The sequence below is a fragment of the Homo sapiens genome, chromosome 17 (genome assembly GCF_000001405.40).
Source record: "Homo sapiens chromosome 17, GRCh38.p14 Primary Assembly".
Lineage (NCBI taxonomy): Eukaryota > Metazoa > Chordata > Mammalia > Primates > Hominidae > Homo > Homo sapiens.
Genome location: NC_000017.11, coordinates 49,967,394 through 49,988,204, shown reverse-complemented (window position 1 = coordinate 49,988,204; position 20,811 = coordinate 49,967,394). Strand labels below are relative to the sequence as shown.

General features: G+C 54.7%; 1 protein-coding gene across 3 annotated transcripts, besides 11 other annotated features; it reads right to left on the bottom strand.

Moving 5' to 3' along the window:
- Positions 3,245 to 3,744: an enhancer, noted in NCBI's record as "H3K4me1 hESC enhancer chr17:48061825-48062324 (GRCh37/hg19 assembly coordinates)". NCBI's record gives its function as "activates a minimal SCP1, AML or CMV promoter by ChIP-STARR-seq in naive H9 embryonic stem cells {active_cell/tissue: H9 hESC(naive)}" and the evidence as "EXISTENCE:reporter gene assay evidence [ECO:0000049][PMID:30033119]".
- Positions 3,245 to 4,246: a biological region, named in NCBI's record as "H3K4me1 hESC enhancers GRCh37_chr17:48061323-48061824 and GRCh37_chr17:48061825-48062324".
- Positions 3,566 to 3,860: a silencer, noted in NCBI's record as "tiled region #8931; K562 Repressive non-DNase unmatched - State 22:ReprW". NCBI's record gives its function as "represses a minimal TATA promoter and a strong SV40 promoter by Sharpr-MPRA in K562 cells {active_cell/tissue: K562}" and the evidence as "EXISTENCE:reporter gene assay evidence [ECO:0000049][PMID:27701403]".
- Positions 3,745 to 4,246: an enhancer, noted in NCBI's record as "H3K4me1 hESC enhancer chr17:48061323-48061824 (GRCh37/hg19 assembly coordinates)". NCBI's record gives its function as "activates a minimal SCP1, AML or CMV promoter by ChIP-STARR-seq in naive H9 embryonic stem cells {active_cell/tissue: H9 hESC(naive)}" and the evidence as "EXISTENCE:reporter gene assay evidence [ECO:0000049][PMID:30033119]".
- Positions 11,045 to 11,608: an enhancer, noted in NCBI's record as "H3K4me1 hESC enhancer chr17:48053961-48054524 (GRCh37/hg19 assembly coordinates)". NCBI's record gives its function as "activates a minimal SCP1, AML or CMV promoter by ChIP-STARR-seq in primed H9 embryonic stem cells {active_cell/tissue: H9 hESC(primed)}" and the evidence as "EXISTENCE:reporter gene assay evidence [ECO:0000049][PMID:30033119]".
- Positions 11,609 to 12,172: an enhancer, noted in NCBI's record as "H3K4me1 hESC enhancer chr17:48053397-48053960 (GRCh37/hg19 assembly coordinates)". NCBI's record gives its function as "activates a minimal SCP1, AML or CMV promoter by ChIP-STARR-seq in primed H9 embryonic stem cells {active_cell/tissue: H9 hESC(primed)}" and the evidence as "EXISTENCE:reporter gene assay evidence [ECO:0000049][PMID:30033119]".
- Positions 13,246 to 19,633, bottom strand: DLX4 (distal-less homeobox 4). Of its 3 annotated transcripts, none has more exons than XM_047435517.1 (3): positions 19,166 to 19,633; positions 14,936 to 18,590; positions 13,246 to 14,504 (listed from the first exon to the last, which is right to left on the bottom strand). In XM_047435517.1, exons 2-3 carry the CDS (start codon positions 15,197 to 15,199, stop codon positions 14,262 to 14,264), a joined length of 507 nt encoding a protein of 168 aa, XP_047291473.1. In that variant the 5' UTR covers positions 15,200 to 18,590; positions 19,166 to 19,633; the 3' UTR covers positions 13,246 to 14,261. The 3 variants fall into 3 exon arrangements, with proteins under 3 accessions (XP_047291473.1, NP_612138.1, NP_001925.2); NM_138281.3 differs by lacking the exon at positions 19,166 to 19,633 and having other exon boundaries at positions 14,936 to 15,132; positions 18,454 to 19,015; NM_001934.4 differs by lacking the exon at positions 19,166 to 19,633 and having other exon boundaries at positions 14,936 to 15,439.
- Positions 15,848 to 16,470: an enhancer, noted in NCBI's record as "H3K27ac-H3K4me1 hESC enhancer chr17:48049099-48049721 (GRCh37/hg19 assembly coordinates)". NCBI's record gives its function as "activates a minimal SCP1, AML or CMV promoter by ChIP-STARR-seq in naive H9 embryonic stem cells {active_cell/tissue: H9 hESC(naive)}" and the evidence as "EXISTENCE:reporter gene assay evidence [ECO:0000049][PMID:30033119]".
- Positions 16,471 to 17,093: an enhancer, noted in NCBI's record as "H3K27ac-H3K4me1 hESC enhancer chr17:48048476-48049098 (GRCh37/hg19 assembly coordinates)". NCBI's record gives its function as "activates a minimal SCP1, AML or CMV promoter by ChIP-STARR-seq in naive H9 embryonic stem cells {active_cell/tissue: H9 hESC(naive)}" and the evidence as "EXISTENCE:reporter gene assay evidence [ECO:0000049][PMID:30033119]".
- Positions 19,235 to 19,284: an enhancer, noted in NCBI's record as "active region_12375". NCBI's record gives its function as "activates an Ori minimal core promoter by ATAC-STARR-seq in GM12878 lymphoblastoid cells {active_cell/tissue: GM12878}" and the evidence as "EXISTENCE:reporter gene assay evidence [ECO:0000049][PMID:35858748]".
- Positions 19,475 to 19,564: a silencer, noted in NCBI's record as "silent region_8676". NCBI's record gives its function as "represses an Ori minimal core promoter by ATAC-STARR-seq in GM12878 lymphoblastoid cells {active_cell/tissue: GM12878}" and the evidence as "EXISTENCE:reporter gene assay evidence [ECO:0000049][PMID:35858748]".
- Positions 19,745 to 19,804: an enhancer, noted in NCBI's record as "active region_12374". NCBI's record gives its function as "activates an Ori minimal core promoter by ATAC-STARR-seq in GM12878 lymphoblastoid cells {active_cell/tissue: GM12878}" and the evidence as "EXISTENCE:reporter gene assay evidence [ECO:0000049][PMID:35858748]".

Genomic DNA, 20,811 nt, shown 5'->3' with positions numbered 1-20,811 from the left:
GCGGGAGCAGCGAGGCGGCAGCCGGGCAGACTTGCTGGAGACACTGCATTTTATTAGGGCTGGGCTGCCAGCAAAGGGAGGGAGAGAGAAGGAAAGGGCAGAGAGAGAGGAAGGAAGGAGGGAGGCAGGGCGGGCAGTCCGCGGCTCTGGGATGAAAGGATGTTGTAAGCTCCCTAATTCCTCCCTGCTCATCCCGGCTCTGTCAGGCTGGATTAACTGCCCAGGTGACCTCCTGTGGGGGTCAGCCCCACCCCTGACCTCCCCTTCCTCCTCTCCTCTCCTCTAGGCCAGGCAGGTCACCCTCTTCATCAGCCCTGATGGGGGCCCCCCACAAGCACAGGGGCTGGGGGTGGAGGCCCTGGCAGGGTACCAGGGTAAGCCTGCTGAGCCCATCTTCTACCAGGTGCTTCTTGACTACACCCATGGCCTCGTGACAACCTTTGTGAGGCGGGGAAGAAGCAGGGCGGGCTAGGGAACCCCAGCCTGCCCTGAGGGTCACTGTTCTCCAAAACTTAGACACAGCTGGCATTCGCTAAACTCCTACTCCGTGCCAAGCACTTTGCATGTGACCTTCACAACAGCTTGGGAGGTAGGTGGTATAGTGCCCATTTATCAGGTGGGAAAACGGAGGCAAAAGAAATTTAGTCTCTGCTGAGGTCACATAACTCATACTTGCCAATGCTAGAATTTGAACCCTAGGTCTGGAGAATGGGTGCTCTTAGTGGGCTTTTCAGAATCTCTGGGCATCCCAGTGCAGAGTGTCTGAAAGCTGGAGCCACCACAGCCCCACCCACCCCAGCTGGCCAGCCCTCCTCCCTGGGTTCTTCCCTGGGAGGCGAAATGGAGAGGGGAGGGCTGGTCCTGGGAAAGCTTAATGTTGCAGTCAGGAATGTGCATGCTGGAGTCAGCTGACCTGGATTTGAATCCTGCCTCCAGTACTTTATTGGTTGTGTGACCTTGGGCAAGTCACTTAACCTTTCTAAGCCTCAGTTTCCTCATCTGTAGTGTAGGGATAATGCTACCTACCTAGCAGGGTTGTTGAGAGGATTAAATGAGATAATGTGAGTAAAATATTTAACAAGGTCCCCAGCAGATGGTGAGTACTACTCAGTTAATGGAAGCGGCGGCTGCTAATGGTGACCAGGGGGATGGGGCTTGCTCCCCAGCCTGCCTCCTGCCCCATCCATCACTCCACACCCCCAGTTCAGACCCAGCCCACTGGCTGCACTTGCTACATTGGCTGACCCATGCATCTCTAGGTGCACTCATAAAAGGAATAAATCAACCAATTATTTATTGAGCACCTGCTATATCTCAGGCACTGTTCCAGGAGGTGGTCTGACTGATGACCAAAGCCTGGAAAAGGAAGGCACAGACCCTGTGCTAAGAGCTCCAGGGCCAGAAGCAGACCCACTCGGGAGGGGCCTGAAGCTGGGCACACCTGACATAGTCCAGGGAGGACAGGATGGACTGTCAGAGGAAAGGGCAAGGCAGTTGGTGGTGAGTGGGAGGGAAGCCTGGAAAGATTGCATAGAGGAGGAGGCATTTGAAGGAAGCCTTGTAAGAAGATGGAAGCATGATAGGCAAAGATGGGTGGGGGGCGGCTCTGGGAACATATCCCCCCTCTGGGACTTCATGGGGTCAAGAGGAGTGAGGCTTGTGGAGCCTGATCGCAGCTGTCTTATGAATCATGCTGGGGCCAGTGCAGGGAGGGAAACCGCAGACTCAGAGGGTCCCCACATCCTTCCCTGGGTGTCAGGCTAAGAGAAGGGTAAGGGTCTTGCCATTCCCAGACCCTCAGGTTTGCTGGAAGATGCTCCAGCACCTTGAGCTTGGGGTACGGAAGCTCCTGCGCCTCTTTTGGGAGGAGATAGCTTCTGCTTTTCTCACTTGGGGAAGTGGATGAGAAGGATGATCTCTCTTTCCCTAAGGACCCCTCCCTGGAGGGGGTCCCAGATACTAGGGGATCTCAGAGACCCCACCCACTTCAGCCTCCATATGCCACACCCTTCAGGACCACACTACCCCTACCGCTTATTATCTAGTCCAGCAGAGCCACTGGGGTAATGTGAGCAAAGTGGTAAAGATTCTAGACAGCTGGCAAAGACCCTTGACCCTCAGCCTCCCAGCCCCTGACTTCCAAGACCCTAGATGAGGGCTCTAGGTGGCTACGTTGGCTGAATTCCATCAACTAAGCCTGGAGGGGATTGGAAGGGAAGGGGAGAATGGAGGGGGAAGGAGAAGGGGAAGCAGCCAGCACCCTGGCCTCTGTTTTTCCAGCTTTAATTGCAGTGTTAATCACCTTAATAAGCTGTTTACCAACTACCCAACAGCCTGAGACTTGGAGACTTCCAAGCCAAAAAGTGCTTGGAGATGAGTTTCCGAGGCCCCAGGTGGGCAGGAGGATGATGTTGATGGGGCACTAGTGGGGCTGGGGGCAGAGGGAGCAGGTTGGGGGATTGCAGGAGAAGGCTGGGGCCAGGAAGTCAGGGAAGGGCAGCCTCAGTCTCTTCAAAGGGGCCCAGCAACCTCCCCACCAGAAGCCCTTAAGGCCACTTCCTCAGGGAAGCCTTCCCCCATCTCCAACATGGGTCTCCAGCCCTTGCCTTTCTCTTTTGTCACTGGGCTATGCTTGTCACCACTAACTCAGTGACTCTCTGCAGGCTCCATCCTAGCTCTGTGGAGGCAGAGCCTGCATGGCGCCTTCCTTATTGCTTTGTCCCCAGCTCATAGCATGGGCATGAACCACGTGGAGTATTTTTGTTCCCCCTGGGGAGGGTTGCTGGGCTGGAAGGCAAGGGACCTGGAAATGCCTTTTTATACCAAGGTCCCTAGGGGCAAAACTAGGGAAGAATCTGAACTGGGGGCATCAGGAATGAAGTCAGGGACTGGGACATGTTCTCCTGGACACCCCCCACCCCCACCTCATGCCTAGCACAGGCTGGAATAGCAGGATGCTCAGTGAACACATAATGAATGAATAATGACATGAAATGATTGATCTTGGGACCCCTCTCCTAGTCCCTCTCTCAGCATCAGGGGAGGGGCTGTGAAGCTGAGGGGGACATGATAACTGTCCCTCCCCAGGCTGATGGGGGTTAAATGAGATGACAACAGGAAAGCCCAGCATCCAATTGCTTCTCCTGAGCAACTGCAGGAGTTGACAGTGATCGCACTCTCTCTAGGCATTCTAATCTAATCATCAGGAAGCAGGCCCAGAGAGGTTGTGTGACTTGCCCAAGGTCACACAGCAGGTGATTGTTCTTAGTGCTGGGGCTCCTCTCCCTACACGAGGCTACACCTGGACAGGCACTGCTGAGTGGGCTCTCAAACCCTTGCAGAACCAAGAGAGGCCTCTGGATCACAAGCAGGTGGTCCCAGTGATCTGACACCCCTGAATGCTTTTCTTCAATTGGCCTGTTTTGTTGGGGAATCTAGCAGACTTTTTGGGGGTGGGAGAGAGTATGGACCAGGCCTGTTAAGCTCCAGGAGCGTCCTGGGAAGCTCAGAGGCCCAGGAAGCATTGAGGAAGGGCCAGGAGTCTCCTGGCTGCCTCTGCCCAAGATGAGGAGTCAGAGGAGGGGCTTAGGGGTCAGGCAGCCAGGATAGGCACCTTGGAAGGAGACAAACCTGGGGATGGGAACAGTGGGTGGGGCCTCAAGGCCCAAATTCCTGGGTTGTCTCCTGGGGCAAATCAGAGCAGGATTGGAAGTGTCTGCTGAGTCAGCAGGGAACAGAGACTCCACACCCTGGAGGATTAGCTGGAGCAGGGGAGGGGTATCCCCCACCCCAGGCAGTTCACCTCGCACCTGGCAGCAGCGTGTGCTTCCCTGCACACTGAGGGTGCCTGGCCACGTCATGCAATGTGTGTGGCACTGTCCCACACCCACTCCCTAGGTCAGTTAGGCCTGCCCTGAGCTCAGGAACCACTGATGGTGAGTGGGGGAGGATGATGTGCCTTCAGCCAGGGGAGGGTGGGCAACTAAAGAAGTCAGAAGGCCAGAGGGAGCAGAATTGGGGCTGGAAAGGAAGGCAAGCAGAAGAGCAGAGAGTTCCTCCCAAGATCTGGGCAGGGATGGTGCTAACGGAAGACCTACTGTGTGCTAAGCCCTATGCCAGGAGCTTCCACAGGCACTGTCTCATTTCATCCTCACAGCTACCTGCCAAGATCAGTGTCATTATTATCCCATTTTGTTGGTGAGATCAATGAGACTGTGTAACCTCAGGTCAGTCGCTTGTGGTCTCTGAGCCGGACTTTCCCTCATCAATATAATGGAGCTAACCAAATCTCTTTTGCAGGGCAGCTGAGGAAATTAAATGAGATAACACATATAAAGGGCTTAACACAATGATGGGAGCTCAACAAACTGTACTGTCAGGTTTCTGTTTGTTTTGTTTTGTTTTTTGGAGATGGAGTTTCACTCTTGTCACCTGGGCTAGAGTGCAGTCGTGCAATCTTGGTTCACTGCAACCTCCGCCTCCGGGGTTCAAGGGATTCTCATGCCTCAGCTTCCCGAGTAGCTGGGATTACAGGCACCCACCACCATGCCTGGCTAATTTTTGTATTTTTAGTAGAGGTGGGGTTTCACCATGTTGGCTAGACTGGTCTTGAACTCCTGACCTCATGTGATCTGCCCACCTCAGCCTCCCAAAGTGCTGGGATTACAGGTGTGAGCCACCGCGCCGGCCTGTACTGTCCGTTTTAGATTAAATCAGCCATAGGCAGGTAGGACACTCCTCAGCGTCCTCCTCAGTTGGCCCAGGGAGTTCTATGTACCCTCCATGAGTCCAAAGTTGACCCTTTCTTCTCTGTCAGGGGAGATCACCTACAAAATTCCTCCCTCTACTGGAAAAGTGCTTTCTTGATCTCATGACTCAGATAATAGAAGGATGATCACCCAGGAAACCATCATGTGCCTAGAACCAGCAGAAGGGATGATGACAGGGGTTTATATATCTCAGTTACTGATCAGCTAAATATCTGGTCTCCACGTCTATATGCTTACAGATTTTGTTTTGCATTTCCATTTTAAAAGGAATATTTTTCCTTATTTATTGCTATACTAAAGAACAGTTACTGATGTCTTATATTTATCTCATATCTAGCCACCATGCCAAAATTCTCTTAATTCTGGAAGATTTTTTCCTCTGGAGTTTCTTGAGTTTTCTAAGCATGCAATCAAATATCAGTAAAAAGAGATATTTTTGTTGTTATTGTTGTTTTTTCTTTTTTTGAGACGGAGTCTCATTCTGTCGCCCAGGCTGGAGTGCAGTGGCGCAATCTCGGCTCACCACAACCTCTGCCTCCCAGGTTCAAGCGATTCTCCTGCCTCAGCCTCCCAAGTAGCTGGGATTACAGGCACCTGCCACCACACCCGGCTAATTTTTGTATTTTTAGTAGAGATGGGGTTTCACCATGTTGGCCAGGCTGGTCTTGAACTCCTGACCTCAAGTGACCCACCCGCCTTGGCCTCCCAAAGTGCTGGGATTACAGGCGTGAGCCACCGTGCCCAGCCGGAGACAGTTTTATCTCTGCTTTTTTGCGTAGTTGGAGGGAATCTGGGGTTACAGGAGGGGGCAATCTTTCACGAATGAAGAAGTCAGGGGCATTGTCTGCCTCTGCATTAGCTCTGACTGAGGCAGGCACTGTATGGCCTTCCCTCTTCAGTTGTCTTCCCACCTGAGGTGTTCAGAGGGCTGCCCAGGGAGCGCAGTCAGACATCCTCACACTTTAGCCAGTCTCCTGCACAACCTCCTCCACTAGTCACAAAGCAGCTTCTGTCCAGCCCATTACCCACACTACAGGGTGGCTGAAGAAGATAGCCCACACCAGGGCTTTACTGACAGGTGGCTCCAACCCAAAAAGATGCTTGGTGGGAATAGAGACTTCCTTAGACCACTTGGCCATCCTGACACCTGGGAATAGAGACTTCCAAGCAGAGAAGAGCAATAGAGGAACTGGTACTTGGGCAAGATTCCTCGTGGACAGAGAGTGTTTTCCTTGCTTGTCAGTCAGAGATACTAATAATTATGAATCCTTGCTGAATGCTTACTGTATTATTGTGACTTTTTCTTTTTTTTTTTTTTTTGAGATGTAGTCTTGCTCTGTCACCCAGGCTGGAGTGCAGTGGCGTGATCTCGGCTCACTGCAACCTCTGCCTCCTGGGTTCAAGCGATTCTCCTGCCTGAGCAACCCGAGTAGCTGGGATTACAGGCATGCACCACCACACCCGGCTAATTTTTTTTGTATTTTTAGTAGAGATGGGGTTTCACCATGTTGGCCAGGCTGGTCTTGAATTCCTGACCTCAAGTGATCTGCCTGCCTCGGCCTCCCAAAGTGCTGGGATTACAGACGTGAGCCACCGCGCCTGGCTGACTTTTGGGTTTCAACTCATATAGTTCCCACAAAAAACTCTGTGAAGCACATGCTCTCATCTTCATTTTCCAGGTAAGAAAGGTGCGGTACACAGAGGTTAAGAAACTTGCCCAAGGTCATCGAGTTGGACTTGAATCAGGAATCTGGCTCTTTGTTATTTTGTGTTCCTGGGGGTAGAACTATACTATTCTCCATTATATGGTGAACTGGTGGGTCAGAGAAGAAGTTAGGGGATGGAAAGAGAGACACTTCCAGCACCAAGTTGGTCTAGCCAGGGTGAAGGAATAAGCCACCATATCTCCTAGCATACCTGGTATTTTTCACAACTTACTAGGGGTGCACTCTCCTTGTCTCCATGACCTTTGGAGGCATCATTTGATCATTGGCCCTACTGCATAGGTGAAGAAATAAAGACCCAGAGATGTGAAGTGACTTGCCCAAGGCCTCTCGACTGAGTGCCTGCATCTCAGAGTGCAAATCCATGAAGACTTTATAAAGGCTGTATGGAGAAGGAGGTAAATGTTATTCCAAGGGAGCTGGGGGGATAACAATTATTGCTCGGGTAGGGCTGCCAAGGGGCTGGGAGTGGGAGGGATCCAAAGTCAGAGGTGAGTCCCAAGACAGAATTCACGGTTTAGAAAGGTGGGTAGGAGGATTTGAGGCGGTAAGGCAAAGACCTGGGTCACAAGGGGTGGAAGAAGCCTGCATTGGTGGATCCAGCTGATCCCCCTGGGCTTGGGGAATGTGACAGGAGCTGGGTAGAGGCATGTCAGGAGCCTCCTGCAGTCTGGCTTCCCCCAGGATCTGTTGGAGCAAAGAATTCCCGGCGGCTCCAGGGCTGGGAGGAGGAGTTTGCAGCAGGCCCGAGCTTGCAGAGACAGAGAAAGCAGCTCCTGGGTCCAGCCCGAGAGGAGTGGTCTTGTGGCTCTCTGGCAGGCAAGGCAGGCAGTGGAAAGGGCGTGGCCTGGCAAGTACCACGTGGCCCCATCCCCTCTTAGGCCTCTACCCAACCCCATGTGCTGAGCCTCTCCACCCCAAAGAGAGTGGGAGCATCAGGGTTGAGGGAGGGGTGAGCAGGCAGAGGAAGAAGCCAGGGTGCCCAGGAGTCCCCAGTCCAAGAGGGGAGGCCCATGAAGCGCTCTCTGGCAACCCCCAGTCTGAAGAAAGAGTGCAAGTCTTAATGGATCAGGTTAAGGTGCAAACCAGGACAGAGAAGATAATCATGGGGTGGGCTTGTAGGTGGAGGAGATGCCCAGGGAACCTCGTGATCAAAGTGGGATGATCCAGGTGGGTGCTCCAACCTCATGATGTGGGCTCTACGTTACATCAGCTGGAGATGGGGAGGGTGAGAGAATGGGGGCCACAGACCTGAGTGAAGTCTCATGCAGCGGCAAAATGATCTTCTTCAGGCTTAACCCCAAGCAACTAAACTCTGAAAGGAATGGTTCATACAGAGCTGAGAGGAATCTCTTCCACATGCCCTCCACAGAGAGTGGCACCCTCCCCTGGAAATGAAGTCATCTCTCCAGTTTTGGGTCAGAGAGGCTGAAGGCCTGGCACTGTGAGACACTGAATCAGAAAGCTTGATGTTTGGAGGAAGCTTGGGGCCGACTCCTTTCCCCTTCCTGAGCTGGCCAGACATGCCCCCTAGGGTGCCAGTGGGGCTGAGTACCTCAGCATCATCAAACTGGGGGGCTGGGAAGAGCCAGCTGTAGGATGCATCCCATCTGAGGCACAGGGGAGCTCAGTCTGATGGTAGAGGCAGGGTCTGCCTTTACAAAGCCCCAGACTAGAGTGGAGAGTGGTGGTAGACACACATTAGCCCACTCTGGTCCCTGCACCCAGAACTTAGCAAGAGAAATTATCTGAGTTTCAGAGAGGGTATGTAACTTGCCCAAGGTCACACAGCAAGTAGTATCAGATACAGATCTTTGGTTCGCAGAGCTGTGCCTTCCTCACCACTTTGTGATCCCAAGCCCCCTCCTGCTTCCCTGGATTGGAGTCAATGTCGGGAAGTGGGGAAGAGGGATCAGTGGAGACTTCTGAAGGAAAGGCCACTTAAGCCCCCTTAAATAGCCTCTGGGTTCCCGTGGCAGAGCTGGACTCCAAGGACATGTCTGGGAGCCATGAGTTGTACCAGGAAGGGCTGGGGACAGAAGCTTTTCTTGCTAGAGCTTAGGAAAAGAAGTAGGCAAAGCTTCAGGGAACACAAACAATCAAGTCAGAATAAAATTATCGAGTTTCTGTGGCTGTTCAGCCTCTCTCCTCAACCACTCACCAGAGAAATGTTCCCAGAAAATAGATGGAGAGCTGGGAAAGGGAGAGAGAAAGGGAAGGTGGCAGGAGAAGAAAGAGGTAGAGAAAAAGAGACTGCCCCCCCCCGCCTACACACATGTGCTGCTTGCACACAAGGAAGCTAGTCTGTATATTTCTGGACATGCATGTCTGTTTCTGCCTACGGTCAAGTCGCCGGGCATCTCCCTTTTGGTGCTTCGCTGTGTTGTGCTTCTCTCTGTGAGTATATAAGCTGCGAGGGCATCTCTCTGTGTTATGTCCATGTACAACCATGGGAATGCTTCATGTACACATGTGTCTACATGTGGCTCTGCCCACTCCCTGCACCCCATTGTGTGTGTCCGCCTGCCTGTGTGCGTGTCTTCTGTGGGTTCATGTGTGCACATGCGGTGTCTGTGTGCCTAGCTCCCTGGGCCTGCTTGTCTCCAAGCATTTCTTTGGGGCCTTTGTATTGTGAGGTTAGGAGTAGAAGGGCCTTTTATTTCCACCCCCACCACCAATTTTTTTTTTTTTTTTTTGAGACGGAGTCTGGCTCTGTCACCAGGCTGGAGTGCAGTGGCGCAATCTCGGCTCACTGTAACCTCTGCCTCCTGGGTTCAAGTGATTCTCCTGCCTTAGTCTCCCTAGTAGCTGGGACTACAGGTGCCCGCGACCATGCCTGGCTAATTTTTGTATTTTTGCAGAGACAGGGTTTCACCATGTTGGCCAGGACGGTCTCCAGCTCTTGACCTCATGATCCGCCCACCTCGGCCTCCCAGAGCGCTGGGATTACAGGCATGAGCCACCGCGCCCAGCCCTATTCCCCCTTTTTAAGCAATCTGCACAGGCCAGGAAATGGGGAAGTGGAGGCGTGGTGAGGAGGCCGCTTGTCTCTCTCGAAGTGTTTTCATCTTGGAAGGAGAGAGAGCAGTCACCCAAGGACTCACTGATAGAATTTCTCCTGGCTCCCCAGGTCCAACAGCCATGCTGCTCAGAGTAGGGGCAGGGGCACGAGGTGGGGTGGGGTGAGGTGAGGAGAAACAAGAGCTGACGGAACTCTTCCTCTTTACCCCACCTTGAAATGAGAGGGGGAGATATGAAAGAGAAACACTATGGGGTCGGTGACTTTTTCTTTTCAACCATCATTGTTAAAACATTACTCACCTCCTGGAACGGGGCTCCCAGGTCAAGGGGAACCCTAGGCTCTTGAAAGCCAGCTCCTTCATGGGCGGGCTTGAGAGGGTCTTTGCAGAGCCCTGAAGTCCATCCCCACACCTTGTTTTAAACCCCTGCCTCCCAGCATCTACCTCTCAGCTCCATCATGTCCCCCTCCTGCCTCCTCCTGGCCAAATGAGGCCTGGGAAGGAAAGGGTTATCCCAGGGGCAGAGGGGAGGGGAAACACCTGTAGGATGCCTTTTGGAAGGAAGAAGCCTCTGTGCATTCAACTGAGAGGAGCTTTGCCATCACTATAATGGGAGGAATTGAGATTAGACACCAGGCAGAAACTAGACAGACTTCGAGCAGGGAGGAGAGAAATGAGTGTCCCGTCAGCTCCTTGGTGGAAGCAGGAAATCACTGTCCACCTTCTAAAGACTTTTCCTTTCTCTACCCATATCCCTTATAAATTCTGGGGAGGTCCTTGATCTCCAAAGCCCCCGTCTACACAGGCCTCAGCTACTGGGATAACATTCCATTGACTCTCTGGATACAATCCCAGAGGCAAGTCCAGGCATCCAAACTCAAATGAGGTTTGGAGCTGAGTAATCAGCTGCTATGGCATTGCAGACATTTTGTCGGGGAACAACCAGCTCCCCACCCCCACCTCAGATTTGGGGGTGGAGGAGGGGCAGCCTGTCACTGGGTGTCTTCCCCCTCAACCATCACCACCACATTCTCCCTCTTCCCACCTGCAAGTAATTTGGCCAGTGGGAGGGCAGTTAAGATTGCAGTGTGGAATCCCTCAAGATCTGTGTGTATTTGGTGAGGAGGGGGCTACCTCCCTTCCCCTCAGACCCCATGTGCCCTTTTCCTCTTCACGGCAGCAAATTACTTGTAATTATCTCACATTGAAAGCCTTCAGGAGCTGCTCCCAAAATTGCTTTAATTGAATTAATTAAATCTCATTTTGTTGGGGGAAAACATGGAGGCATGACCTAAAATAGTATACGGGGAGAGGGAAGGTTGAGTGACCCAGAAAGGTGGGGAAGCCCAAGTCAGCTTCCCTGTAGCTGAGACCCTTGTAGTGCCCTGGACGTTCTCTGAACACACTTTCCCGTCTTCCAGTTTCAGCTGACTTCAGATGCACTGTGCTGCGTCTTCTGCATTTGGGACCTTGCCTGTATCCAGCTCTCGGATGGTGGTGACCAGGGATGTTTTGAGTTCTCCAGCCTCATTCCTCGTCTGCCTCCTTAGGAGGCAGTTCTCCCAGGGGCAGAAGGTGAATGGATGGCAGTAAGAATTCCCCCTCACTGTAACCCCTCCTCTTCTTCCCCTGATAATAACAGCAGTCGTAAATGCCATTTATTAAGTGCTTACTATGTTCCAGGCACCATGTCAAGCGTGTTACAAGCACTATCTCATTTTGTCATCACAATCACTCTGCAAAGCAAGTCCTATTAGTATTCTCATCTTGGGTGGGGGTGGGGGATGGGAAAAAGCAAGGCTCAGAGAGAGGTTAAGTAACTCACCAAAAGTCACACTGCTAGAAGATGACAGAGCCGGGACTCTTTATAGCTTAAAGCCCCTGTTCTTCACCACCCAGTCTTGGTCCCCCTCCCTTACTGACCCAATTTTCCCAGTGGGGCTTCCTCAGGGAAAGGAACCATGGGGTTCTCCTTCTACAGCCCTGATGGCCTGAGGGAAGGGAACCGGGCACCTCCTCCACTGGGAGCTCCAGGCCCATCACTGCCCGGGAGCTCCAGGCCCATCACTGCCCAGGAGCTCAGGGAAACTGGGCCAGCTCCCAAATGGAAAAGAGGTTCCCATTTCCCCTGAAAAGGATGGATAGAAGGAGAGGGGGCCAGAGGGGGGTGGATGCTGTCAGCTCAGGGCCTCTAGCTGAGAGAGTAATTACACTCCTTGTGCTACTTAACTTTACAACCTGGGCTGTTGTTTTAACAATGTGACTTGTGTTGGGCTGTCCAATTAATCTCGCCTTTGGAGGCTTTCCTAGATGGGGCGGTAGATCTTATCTTGGGTCTGTAGAAAGAGGAGTGTGCAACCTGCAGTGGGCGGGAACAGCTGCCTGGAGGGCCTGTGGCCTCAGAGGAGACCAAGAGGAGAGAACTGGGCCTGGGGTGACAGAGAGCCAGTGGAGCCTGGGGCTTGGAGCAGGGGAAGGCATTGTAGGAAGAGGAAGATATTTATCCTCCTGGCACTCCCATTCCTCACCACTCCTGGATCTTGGCTTTGGTCTACCCATGCCATGTGCCATCCCCAAGAGAATTCTCTGGGAGTGTTTTGTGGAATAGGGGTGGTCACTGACCCAACACAGGGTGAGGAACAGGGGCTGAGGAGGAACTGACTGTAGGCGTCAGGAGCTGGGGGATTTCATACCCCTCTGCCCTACACATGACTCCAATTTGGGCTTCTCTCTGGCCTGCAGCGGTTGGCTGGAAGTGTCTGAGTGGGCTTTTCAGACTGGGACAGGCACCGAGTTTGCAGTGTCTGGGAACAGGTCTAGGCAGTCAGAGGGAAGCTCAACTTGGAAGCTTTTTGCCTGGATTTGGAGGCCCCTCCCCCAGCCCCTCAGGCCATGCTGGGCTGGATTCGCTGAATTATTCTGCCACCCTTGTCCTCAGCTCCTCTCCCAAGGCGTTCCTTATCCTGCTGATCCTGGTGGGAGCAGGGGTGGTGCTATGTAGTCCAGTGAGGTGTGGTGGCCAGGAGTCTGTCAGGTCCTGCTGCTCCCCAGGCCGCCCGCCCTTCTCGCCCAGCACTGACCCCTCTGGCCCAGGCTGGATTGGAGGCCCTTGACAATACCCACGCCACCATCTGTGTTTTCCTTTGCCTGGAACTCACCACACCAGCGTCTGGTCATTTGTTTGCTTCAGTCACCATGGTATCCCTAGGATCTAGCAGAGCACAGGGTCTCCAAATGTTTGTTGGATGGAAGAGAATTCCAGTTCTTTTTGGTGTTTTCCTTCTCAGACCTGCCCCTCCTCCTTCCCCAAGGTGAGCTGAGGCCATCCTGCCCCCAAGCAGCACACTTCTCCAGGTAGGACTGGACCGGATCCGTGGGTGTGCCCTCTCTCAAGGTGAACAGGGCCTCTCCCTGGGCTAAAGGTGGGGCCTGGGGGCTGGTAAGGTGCCTGGCTCCCTCCTGAACTGGGCCAGGAGAGCATCTCCTGGGAAGGAGCACTCAGACCCTGCATGAGCATCTCCTGGGTTCACATGGGAGCATATGAAACTGTGGACGTTGTTAGAACATTCCAGAGCCAGAATCACAGAGCTAGTTAGTGGCCAAGACAAATCTAGAATCCAGTGCCTCTGATACCTGTAATTCCATGGTAGAAAAGTCAGATGGGCCAGAAGAGATGCATGACCAGCCGCTACCCATAAGAAGTCAGGAAACAAACACATCTCACAGCCAGAATGCAATGTTTTGTACAAACTTTAATCTCTGGAAGCTGGTGGTGTGAAGCTCAAGCTCCAATTCGTTCTAAATCTGCACAGTTCCTTTGAACAGAGACAGCTGCAAGGAGCTGAATCAATGGGCCTACCCACCTATTTGGGGGTGTCTATACCCGCACTAATCCAGAGAGCCAGTTTGTCCCCATTTCCCCCTAAGTGTTACTTTACCAGGTTTCCAAAAGTGTGTGCCCGTGGGTTCGTTAGGGATTAGGGATGGGGAATAGAAGGGAGCCTCTCAATAAATACCTATTGAATTATATGGATAATTGGATCCATTATCTATTCAAAAAGGGGAGATGGGGAGGGGGTGGGAAAGAGGGCTTTTTTTTTTTTTTTAGGAGGAAAGCATAAATTACCCATAGGTCCACAAATTCCACATTTCTCTGCATCTCTTCTACCTCCCAGTATGGTAAGTAGGTAAATCAGTTATGGGGGTAACGGGCTGACCTCCAAGGAAAAATCGCTGGGTGGGTGGGAGCTGATGGTGGTCCACTTCTGCTTTTGCTCACAAATGGGTTGTGCAAGGCCAAAGGCATACAAAGAAAAAAAAATACTCAATGTTTCTTGCTGATTTTGCACCCAGGCTGTAGTGGCGATTCAGTCCTTTTCAAGAAAGCAGGGAGAGGAGAAAGGGAGAGAGGGAAGAAGGAGTGGGGGAGTGGCAAGACCAAGGGTTCTGGGGACAGTCTCAACTCCAGCCAATGGCTCTCTCTCCAGAGTCTTTGTCCAGCTGGAGTGAAGGTGTCCAGTCCATGGTAGTGGTGGGGACAATGATTATATAAGGCTGAGGTCCTTGATTTAGCTGTTAGGGTTAGGGGTACAGGCTCTGCTCCATTCCTTTTTCTCCTCTAACTGCTTGTCCTCCAGAGAAAACCCATCTGGAGCTGGTTTCCTCCCAGCCCAGAAGGGGTGCAGGTGGACTGCCTGGGTCCTGGGCTTTGCAGGAAGGCTGTGGGCCTGACCCGCCCTTCCCCAGATTCACATCATCTGAGGCGAAGCCAGGACATCTGAGGAGTGATGCTGATACCAGGCTCCAAAGCTGTTGCCATAGCCACTGGTGGGCAGGGTCCCTGCCTTGGGTAGATCCCAGAGGGAGGGGAGGGGTGGGGAGCAGGGAGACACAGAGAAGGTCCTCCCAGGGAAGTCCCCTTCCTGCCCCCCAGAATTCTGCTTCAGGAGCTTCTTATACTTGGAGCGTTTGTTCTGAAACCAGATCTTTACCTTCGGGAAGAAAAGGGGAAAGAATGAAAGATCAGGAGGAAGATATGTGTGAAAAGTTTCGAGGAAGGGAAAGGGATCCAGGTGCAGGCACAGTCCTGGGAGACCAGCAGTTCCCTAGGCTGGGAACATTTGCTTCAGTCCCCCACAGCCCCAGGAGCCTTCTGAGTTCCTGCCTCTGAGCTAGTATCCATGTCTCCCTGTCTGACCTACCCTCCTCTTCCTGACCCACTCCACCCCACCCGCACATACATGCACACCTTTCAACACATTCCCCCCAAGGCTTACTAAGAGCCAGCTATGAACATTCCCTGGAGAACTGTGACAACAGGGCCACAGCACCAATCCATCAGTCATTCACAGCTGGGGCTGGGGGATGAGTTCCCAGAGAACCAGGGAAGGTGAGAGATGGGGAAGGACGACACTGGCCCCACCTGGGTCTGGGTGAGGCCGAGCTGCGCTGCCAGCTGGGCCCTCTCGGGCAGCGCCAGGTACTGCGTGTGCTGGAAACGCTGGTTTAGGTGCTGCAGCTGCAGGCTGGAGTAGATGGTCCTCGGCTTGCGGAGCTTTTTGGCGGGGGCCTGAGGGCGCCGCTCGGAGGGTTCCGGGGACAGCCGCGGCTTCTCCGAGTCTGGTGGGCAGCACAACACGGTGTAGGGGGCGAGGAGGGAGCGAGGGGGTAGGACGGACAGTTTCATAAGCTTATTTGCATCTCGTCTGCATGCCGTCGGCAGCAAATAGCAAAAAGCGCAGCCACCAGGATCGCCCCCTTGGCCCCTGCCCTCTACCTTCCGCGTGGAGCGTTTCAACCCCCACGTTCACCGCGCCAGGTGATACAAGACGCAGTTCTGCTCCCAGGGAGCTCCCACTCGTATGGGTCCTGTGACCCTAGGAAGAAAGCGCCGAGGGCCACAGCCAGGGTACCGCGGCGCCTGCGGTGGGAGGTCGGAGTTCAGCCACGGGCGGTGGCGCCAGCTTGGGGTAGGGCGGGGCAGAAAGGCTAGGTCCAGGGCTGAGCCGAGGCCTAGAGATGACAGAGGAAGGACATTGCAGGCAGAGGCTCAGAGCAATGCTCAGAGGCTTGAGACGGTGTCCGCGTGGCAGCCTCCGGCTGCGGCCAGCGGGGTGGGTGAGAGGCCCGGCTGAGAGGACCTTGAATACCAGTCTCGCAGCGCTGATAGTGACCCCGGGTTTGCCCTGGCCTCGCCTACTGTAACGGGCTGCCCCTCTGCTCAGGCGCACCCTGCAGGAAAAGTGACCATGTCTCCCCCGCCACACCGTGGCCGCCTGGGTTTCCAGGGACCCCCAGAAGCCGGGTCTGCGTGGGGCAGCCCCTTCCTTCGTTGGGCAGCGCGCACAGAGCGGTTCCGGCGGCAGGGAAGGTGACCCGGGTTCCAAGAGCGCGCAGCGTAGCCCGGCGGGGCCACTCCTGGATCGCGCTGCGGTGCCGCCGCGGGGGATCTGGTCAGCTCTGGCCCGCCTAGCTCTCCAGGAATCTCGGCCGCGGGACAGCCCAGCCCTAGAATGCTGAGGGACAGGGGAGGGTTGGGCCGAGGGGTTTCTGTTCTTCCAAGCCAGCCACCCTAACCTGCGCGGCTCTACGGGGACGCTGCAGAGGTCCCAGGCAATGGGAGGAGTAGGGCGGATGGAGCAGCCGCAATGCCCGGGCGCTTAGGGCAGCGTTCGCCGCATTCCCTGCGGGTCTGTCCAGCCGACCTGAGCCGAGAGAGAGCGGCTTCTGTCCGCCCGCGTCCCCCCACCTTCTTCCCCTAGTCGGGCTCACCCTCCACACGTCAGTGTACCCGCCCTCGGCCAGCCGCGGTCACCAGCTGCCGTCACCTCCCCCGCATCCCTCACCCGTGGCCTCGGGCGCTGCGGGCTTCTGAGATCCTCCCTCCTCGACCCTGCCTCAACCAATTCCCAGAAAAACCGTTGGGTTTCCGCTCCCGCCCGCGCCTGTCCTGCCTCCCCTGCCTCGACCCCACTGCTGGCAGCTCTGGGCTGGCAGCCCAGAGCCCACCCGCGCCTCTCTGGCTGCGTGGACTGCGCAATTCGAGCGGGGACGCAGAGTCTCTGAGGCCGACCCGGTTGCTGAATTCGCATAGCCCTCCGCGCCCCAACTCTCCCAGCAGACCCCCTCCAAGTTCCTTCCCGGACAGCTGCCTTTCCCTACCCCAGTTCCAGCAAGTTACGAGATCTGCCCGGGTCGCGATCATGGAGCCCCAAGGCCTCCCTCCAGGCCCGCTGCTCCCTACGGCTCAACGGGGTGGTGGCACCGCTCACTTGGAGCCAAACCTTTTCCCAAGGCAGGAGTGGACATAGAGTGGAAGTAAAAGGAGGACCCCAAGCTCTCGATCACATGCCCTCCACTCTAGAGCGCCCAAACCCACCAGTTCCAGCAGAGAAATGCTAGAAATGTATTCTAAGGAAATCTGGGTGTGTGTGGTTTTTCGCTGGATGGGGGAAAGTCCTTAAAGAAAATGAACTCTCCACTCTGTTGTCCTTAGATCTCAGACAAGACTGACAACACCAACCCTACTGCCAGCAATTCCCCTGAGGACAAGGTCATGATATTCCCACCCCAGTCCCCAAACACATAACACACACAAACATATCCTATTAGCATACACTAAAGGACAGTCAAAGGGATTCATTTGAAAAACTAGAACTACTCCTCCCTGCAACTGCGCCCACTCCAGCCACACTCCGCAGCCCAGGAGACAGCCACAGTTCTGTCACAGAAGGCAGTTAATTTTGGGGGGGTTGGAGGAAGCTCCCTAAAATCGATGCTCCTGGCCACATGCTTTACCCATCTATACATCAAAGAAGTTGAGCTTCTAAATCCTAGGGTCACTTCTGGCTCTGATGGTTTGTGAGCATGTCAGAGCCACAGGAGAAGGGAGGAAGATGTCTTGGTCCTGAGCTGACTCCAGTGAAGTCACCTAATGGGTGTGCCTCCTTGGAAGAGACTGCCAAAGACAATTGCAGGAGGAGGGGGTGAGCAATTAGATGGAGGCAGAGAGTCCAGAGACCTGGAGGCTAAGCTGGAGCCAGTGCAGATGGGATTGTGGGCAATGCCATACCCACATTGTATGTCAGCTCAGCTGCAAGGCCCAGGATCCCAAAGACGGGCCAGGTTCTCCGCTTCATTGAGGCCTTCCAGTGAGCACTTTCTCAGGAGCTCAGAGTTGCTCCAGGCAACGGGAACTGTGGCCTAACCTACCCCAAAGCCAAAGAGTGGAGATGACAGCGATGGCCGGCTCCTTTGGCTGGAAGGCTGAGGTAGTCAGGGAGAGATGAGCGACTTTCCTACCAGCCTTTGGCTACCTTCTCAGAACAATGGATAGAAGGGTCCTACTCCCAGATTCTGCCAGGCCAGCTTCCAGTCAAGGTCAGGCCTGGTCTGAGGAGAGCGGGTAAGGCCAGGGAAGGGAGAGGACAGAGCCCAGAATAAGCCTCGATGTCTACAGCCCTCCTACCAGGACTTGATCTGTTTTTCAGTGTTTGGCTTGATCACTGCTTTCTGAGACAAGACTAACGCAGAGAGGGGCGACAATGGGGCAGGAAGGGAGTACAGGACGGGGGCTGGGGGATTCTGACAAAGGGGCTAGGCCCCCATCCCCACATCTGGATTGCTTCAGTTTTCCGTTACTAGTAGGTACAGACAGCCCCGCTGCTCCAGGTGGGGGGTTGGGGGGGCCCTCTCGCCTGTCTTTACACAACTGCAAATCGAAACCAGGTCGGTTTTGAAAGGAGACCTAGATCAACTCTCCCCCGCCCCTCCCCCCGTGTCTCCCGCCCCATCCCTTCGCCCTCCCCCCACCCCCACATCCCAGGGAATCCAAGGAAGGTTTGAATCCCGCTAGCTGCGTCCAACCAGGCGAGGGAGAAGTTTAGGGGCGCACAGGAGCCGAACCCCAGAGGTGGGAAGAGCCTCCACGGCCGAACTTACCTGCCTCGAGTTCCTGAGGGTGCTCTGCAGGTCCGCAGAGGGGCTGAGAGAGCGCCGCGGGTTGCTGGCAGGACAGGTAGGAGTCTCCGGGGTTCGCTGGCTCGGTGTAGGGGTAAGACAGGAGGTGGCCATACGGCCTGGAGTAGGACAAATTGGGGGAGGCTGCGGTTGTAGGGGACAAGCCAAGCGGGTAGGCAGCCGCTACCGACGGGACAGGGGCGAGGTCTGGGAAGACAGCTTTGGAGGCGTCCCGGCCGGGGAGGGGGCAGGGCAAAGAGGTCATTGTGGCCAGGGCCCGGGCAGAAGGGCCATGGCCCGGCACGTAGTCCGCTCCCGCTGCCAACTCTCTTTTCCAAGCCTCCGGCGTTGGGCCGGACGGGCCCCCCAGCCAGCAGCCCCCACACTTAAGATCCCGGAGAAAGTGTCTCTCTGAGCCTCTTTCAGCGGAGAACGCGCGCCTGGGAAAGGGGTTCCGGGGGGGTGCCCCCCATGACTTTCCCCTCCCCCCCTAAATCCATGGGGGCCCCCTCCTCTCCATCGGGTTCGGTTCCCGGGACCCGACGGGGGCCCCGCCCTCTTAGACGTCCCGGATTGGCTACCGCCCGCGGTGACCTCACGGAGACTTGCAGCCGGGCCCCGCCCCCCGGGACAGCCCGCTGTAGAGAAGTGGTAAATGGGAGAGGGGCGGTGCGCATGCTCCAGGCCGGTCTACCTCGGGGTCTCCTCCGAGAGGTGCTGGGGTTGCAGAGCGATTGGTGCAGTCCAGGAACCTCGGTTATAATGGCAGAAATGCTAGAGAGGTGGCGAGACTGGATGCCCAAGAGACAGGGAGCTGGGTGGTGGGCAGAGGCCCGGGGGCTGCGGAGACGCAGGGAATCTGCATTTGCAGTCTCCCGATTTCGGGGATCTGCACGTCGATTCTGGTCCAGCCGCGGTGGACCTGAAGGGGAGTCAAGTGCAGACCGCCAGCGCCAACCGCTTAGTCAGCGCGTCGGAATGCGCCGCTGCTGAGCGCCGGCAGTTTGTTGGTAAATAGACGCCGGGGCTGGGAGGGTGCCGCCCGGCGCCCAGCCTGCCCCGCACGCGTGTGGCGCGCACGCCCCCGCGGGGCGCCCTGGGCCTGGCACGCCGAGACCGCCGCCGCTGCACCCCACCGCCCTGCGTGCTGGCTTCCGCTTCCGGCAGGGGCCCTGGTTTGGTTGCGACACCGCAGCTCCTTGCAGGCCCCCGAGGCTGAAGAAGGGATCCGCCCTCTGGGCTTTAGCCTGTGCGGTGCCCCGCCTTACCTGGCGCCGCAGGGGGCTGAAGTGTTGCTTGAACCCGGACGAAATCTGGGAGTGGGAGATGAGTCCAGTTGGATGGCTCCTGGGCGGGCACAGGAAATACTGCAGGCCAGTCTCCCTGGCGCATTTTCCAGGCTGTGTTCAGGACTTGCTTCTAAACATTAGTATCCATGGCCTCGATGGACACGTGTCCACGTATACAAGCATTTATTGACACGTGTACACAACTACACAGGGACTCCATTCAAATACAACATGTATACTCACATATACCAACATGGAGGTACCTACACTGATGTTCACACTAGCATTCCTCTATAAAAAGAGAGGTTCATTTGTAAATCTGCAAACACTTTAGGCTGTGATGTGTATACATCTACATACCTAAAGATGAATTAGCACTATCCCTAAATAAAAACACTATCTAGTACTTGTCTCTTACATGGATTCATGAGTATACAAGTCAAATCACTGGTGTACCTACTAGAAAATACAGAAGATCCAAGCATATAAAATGTATACTTGTGTTCCTGCTCTATGAGAAATACCTGTCCACACACATCTAAGATGCCTTATGTTAGATGTGTCCCTAAACTGCCAGTCTTCACAAATTCCCCAGCATACCCAAACACCTGTTCCCACTTTATGCAACTGGGCAGGCATATTCATGTTTGTACACACACACATGCTCTCATTGTTAGCGTTCAGAGTGAAGGTAGCCCTCGTAGAACTGGGAGATGGAAGAGGATGGTGATAAGAAAGAGAGATCAGGCAAGGTGGCTCAGGCCGGTAATCCCAGCATTTGGCCCAGGCAGGCAGATCGGTTGAGCTCAGGAGTTTGAGATCAGCCTGGGCAACATAGGGAGACTCATCTCTACAAAAAGTACAAAAATTAGCTGGTCATGGTGGTGTATGCCCGTAGTCCCAGCTACTCAGGAGACTGAGGCAGGAGGATCACTTGAGCCCTGGATGTTAAGGCAGCAGTGAGTTGAGATCATGCCACTTCACTCCAGCCTGACTGACCGAGTGAGACTCTATGTCGAAAAAAGAAGGAGGAGGATGAGGAGGAGGAGGA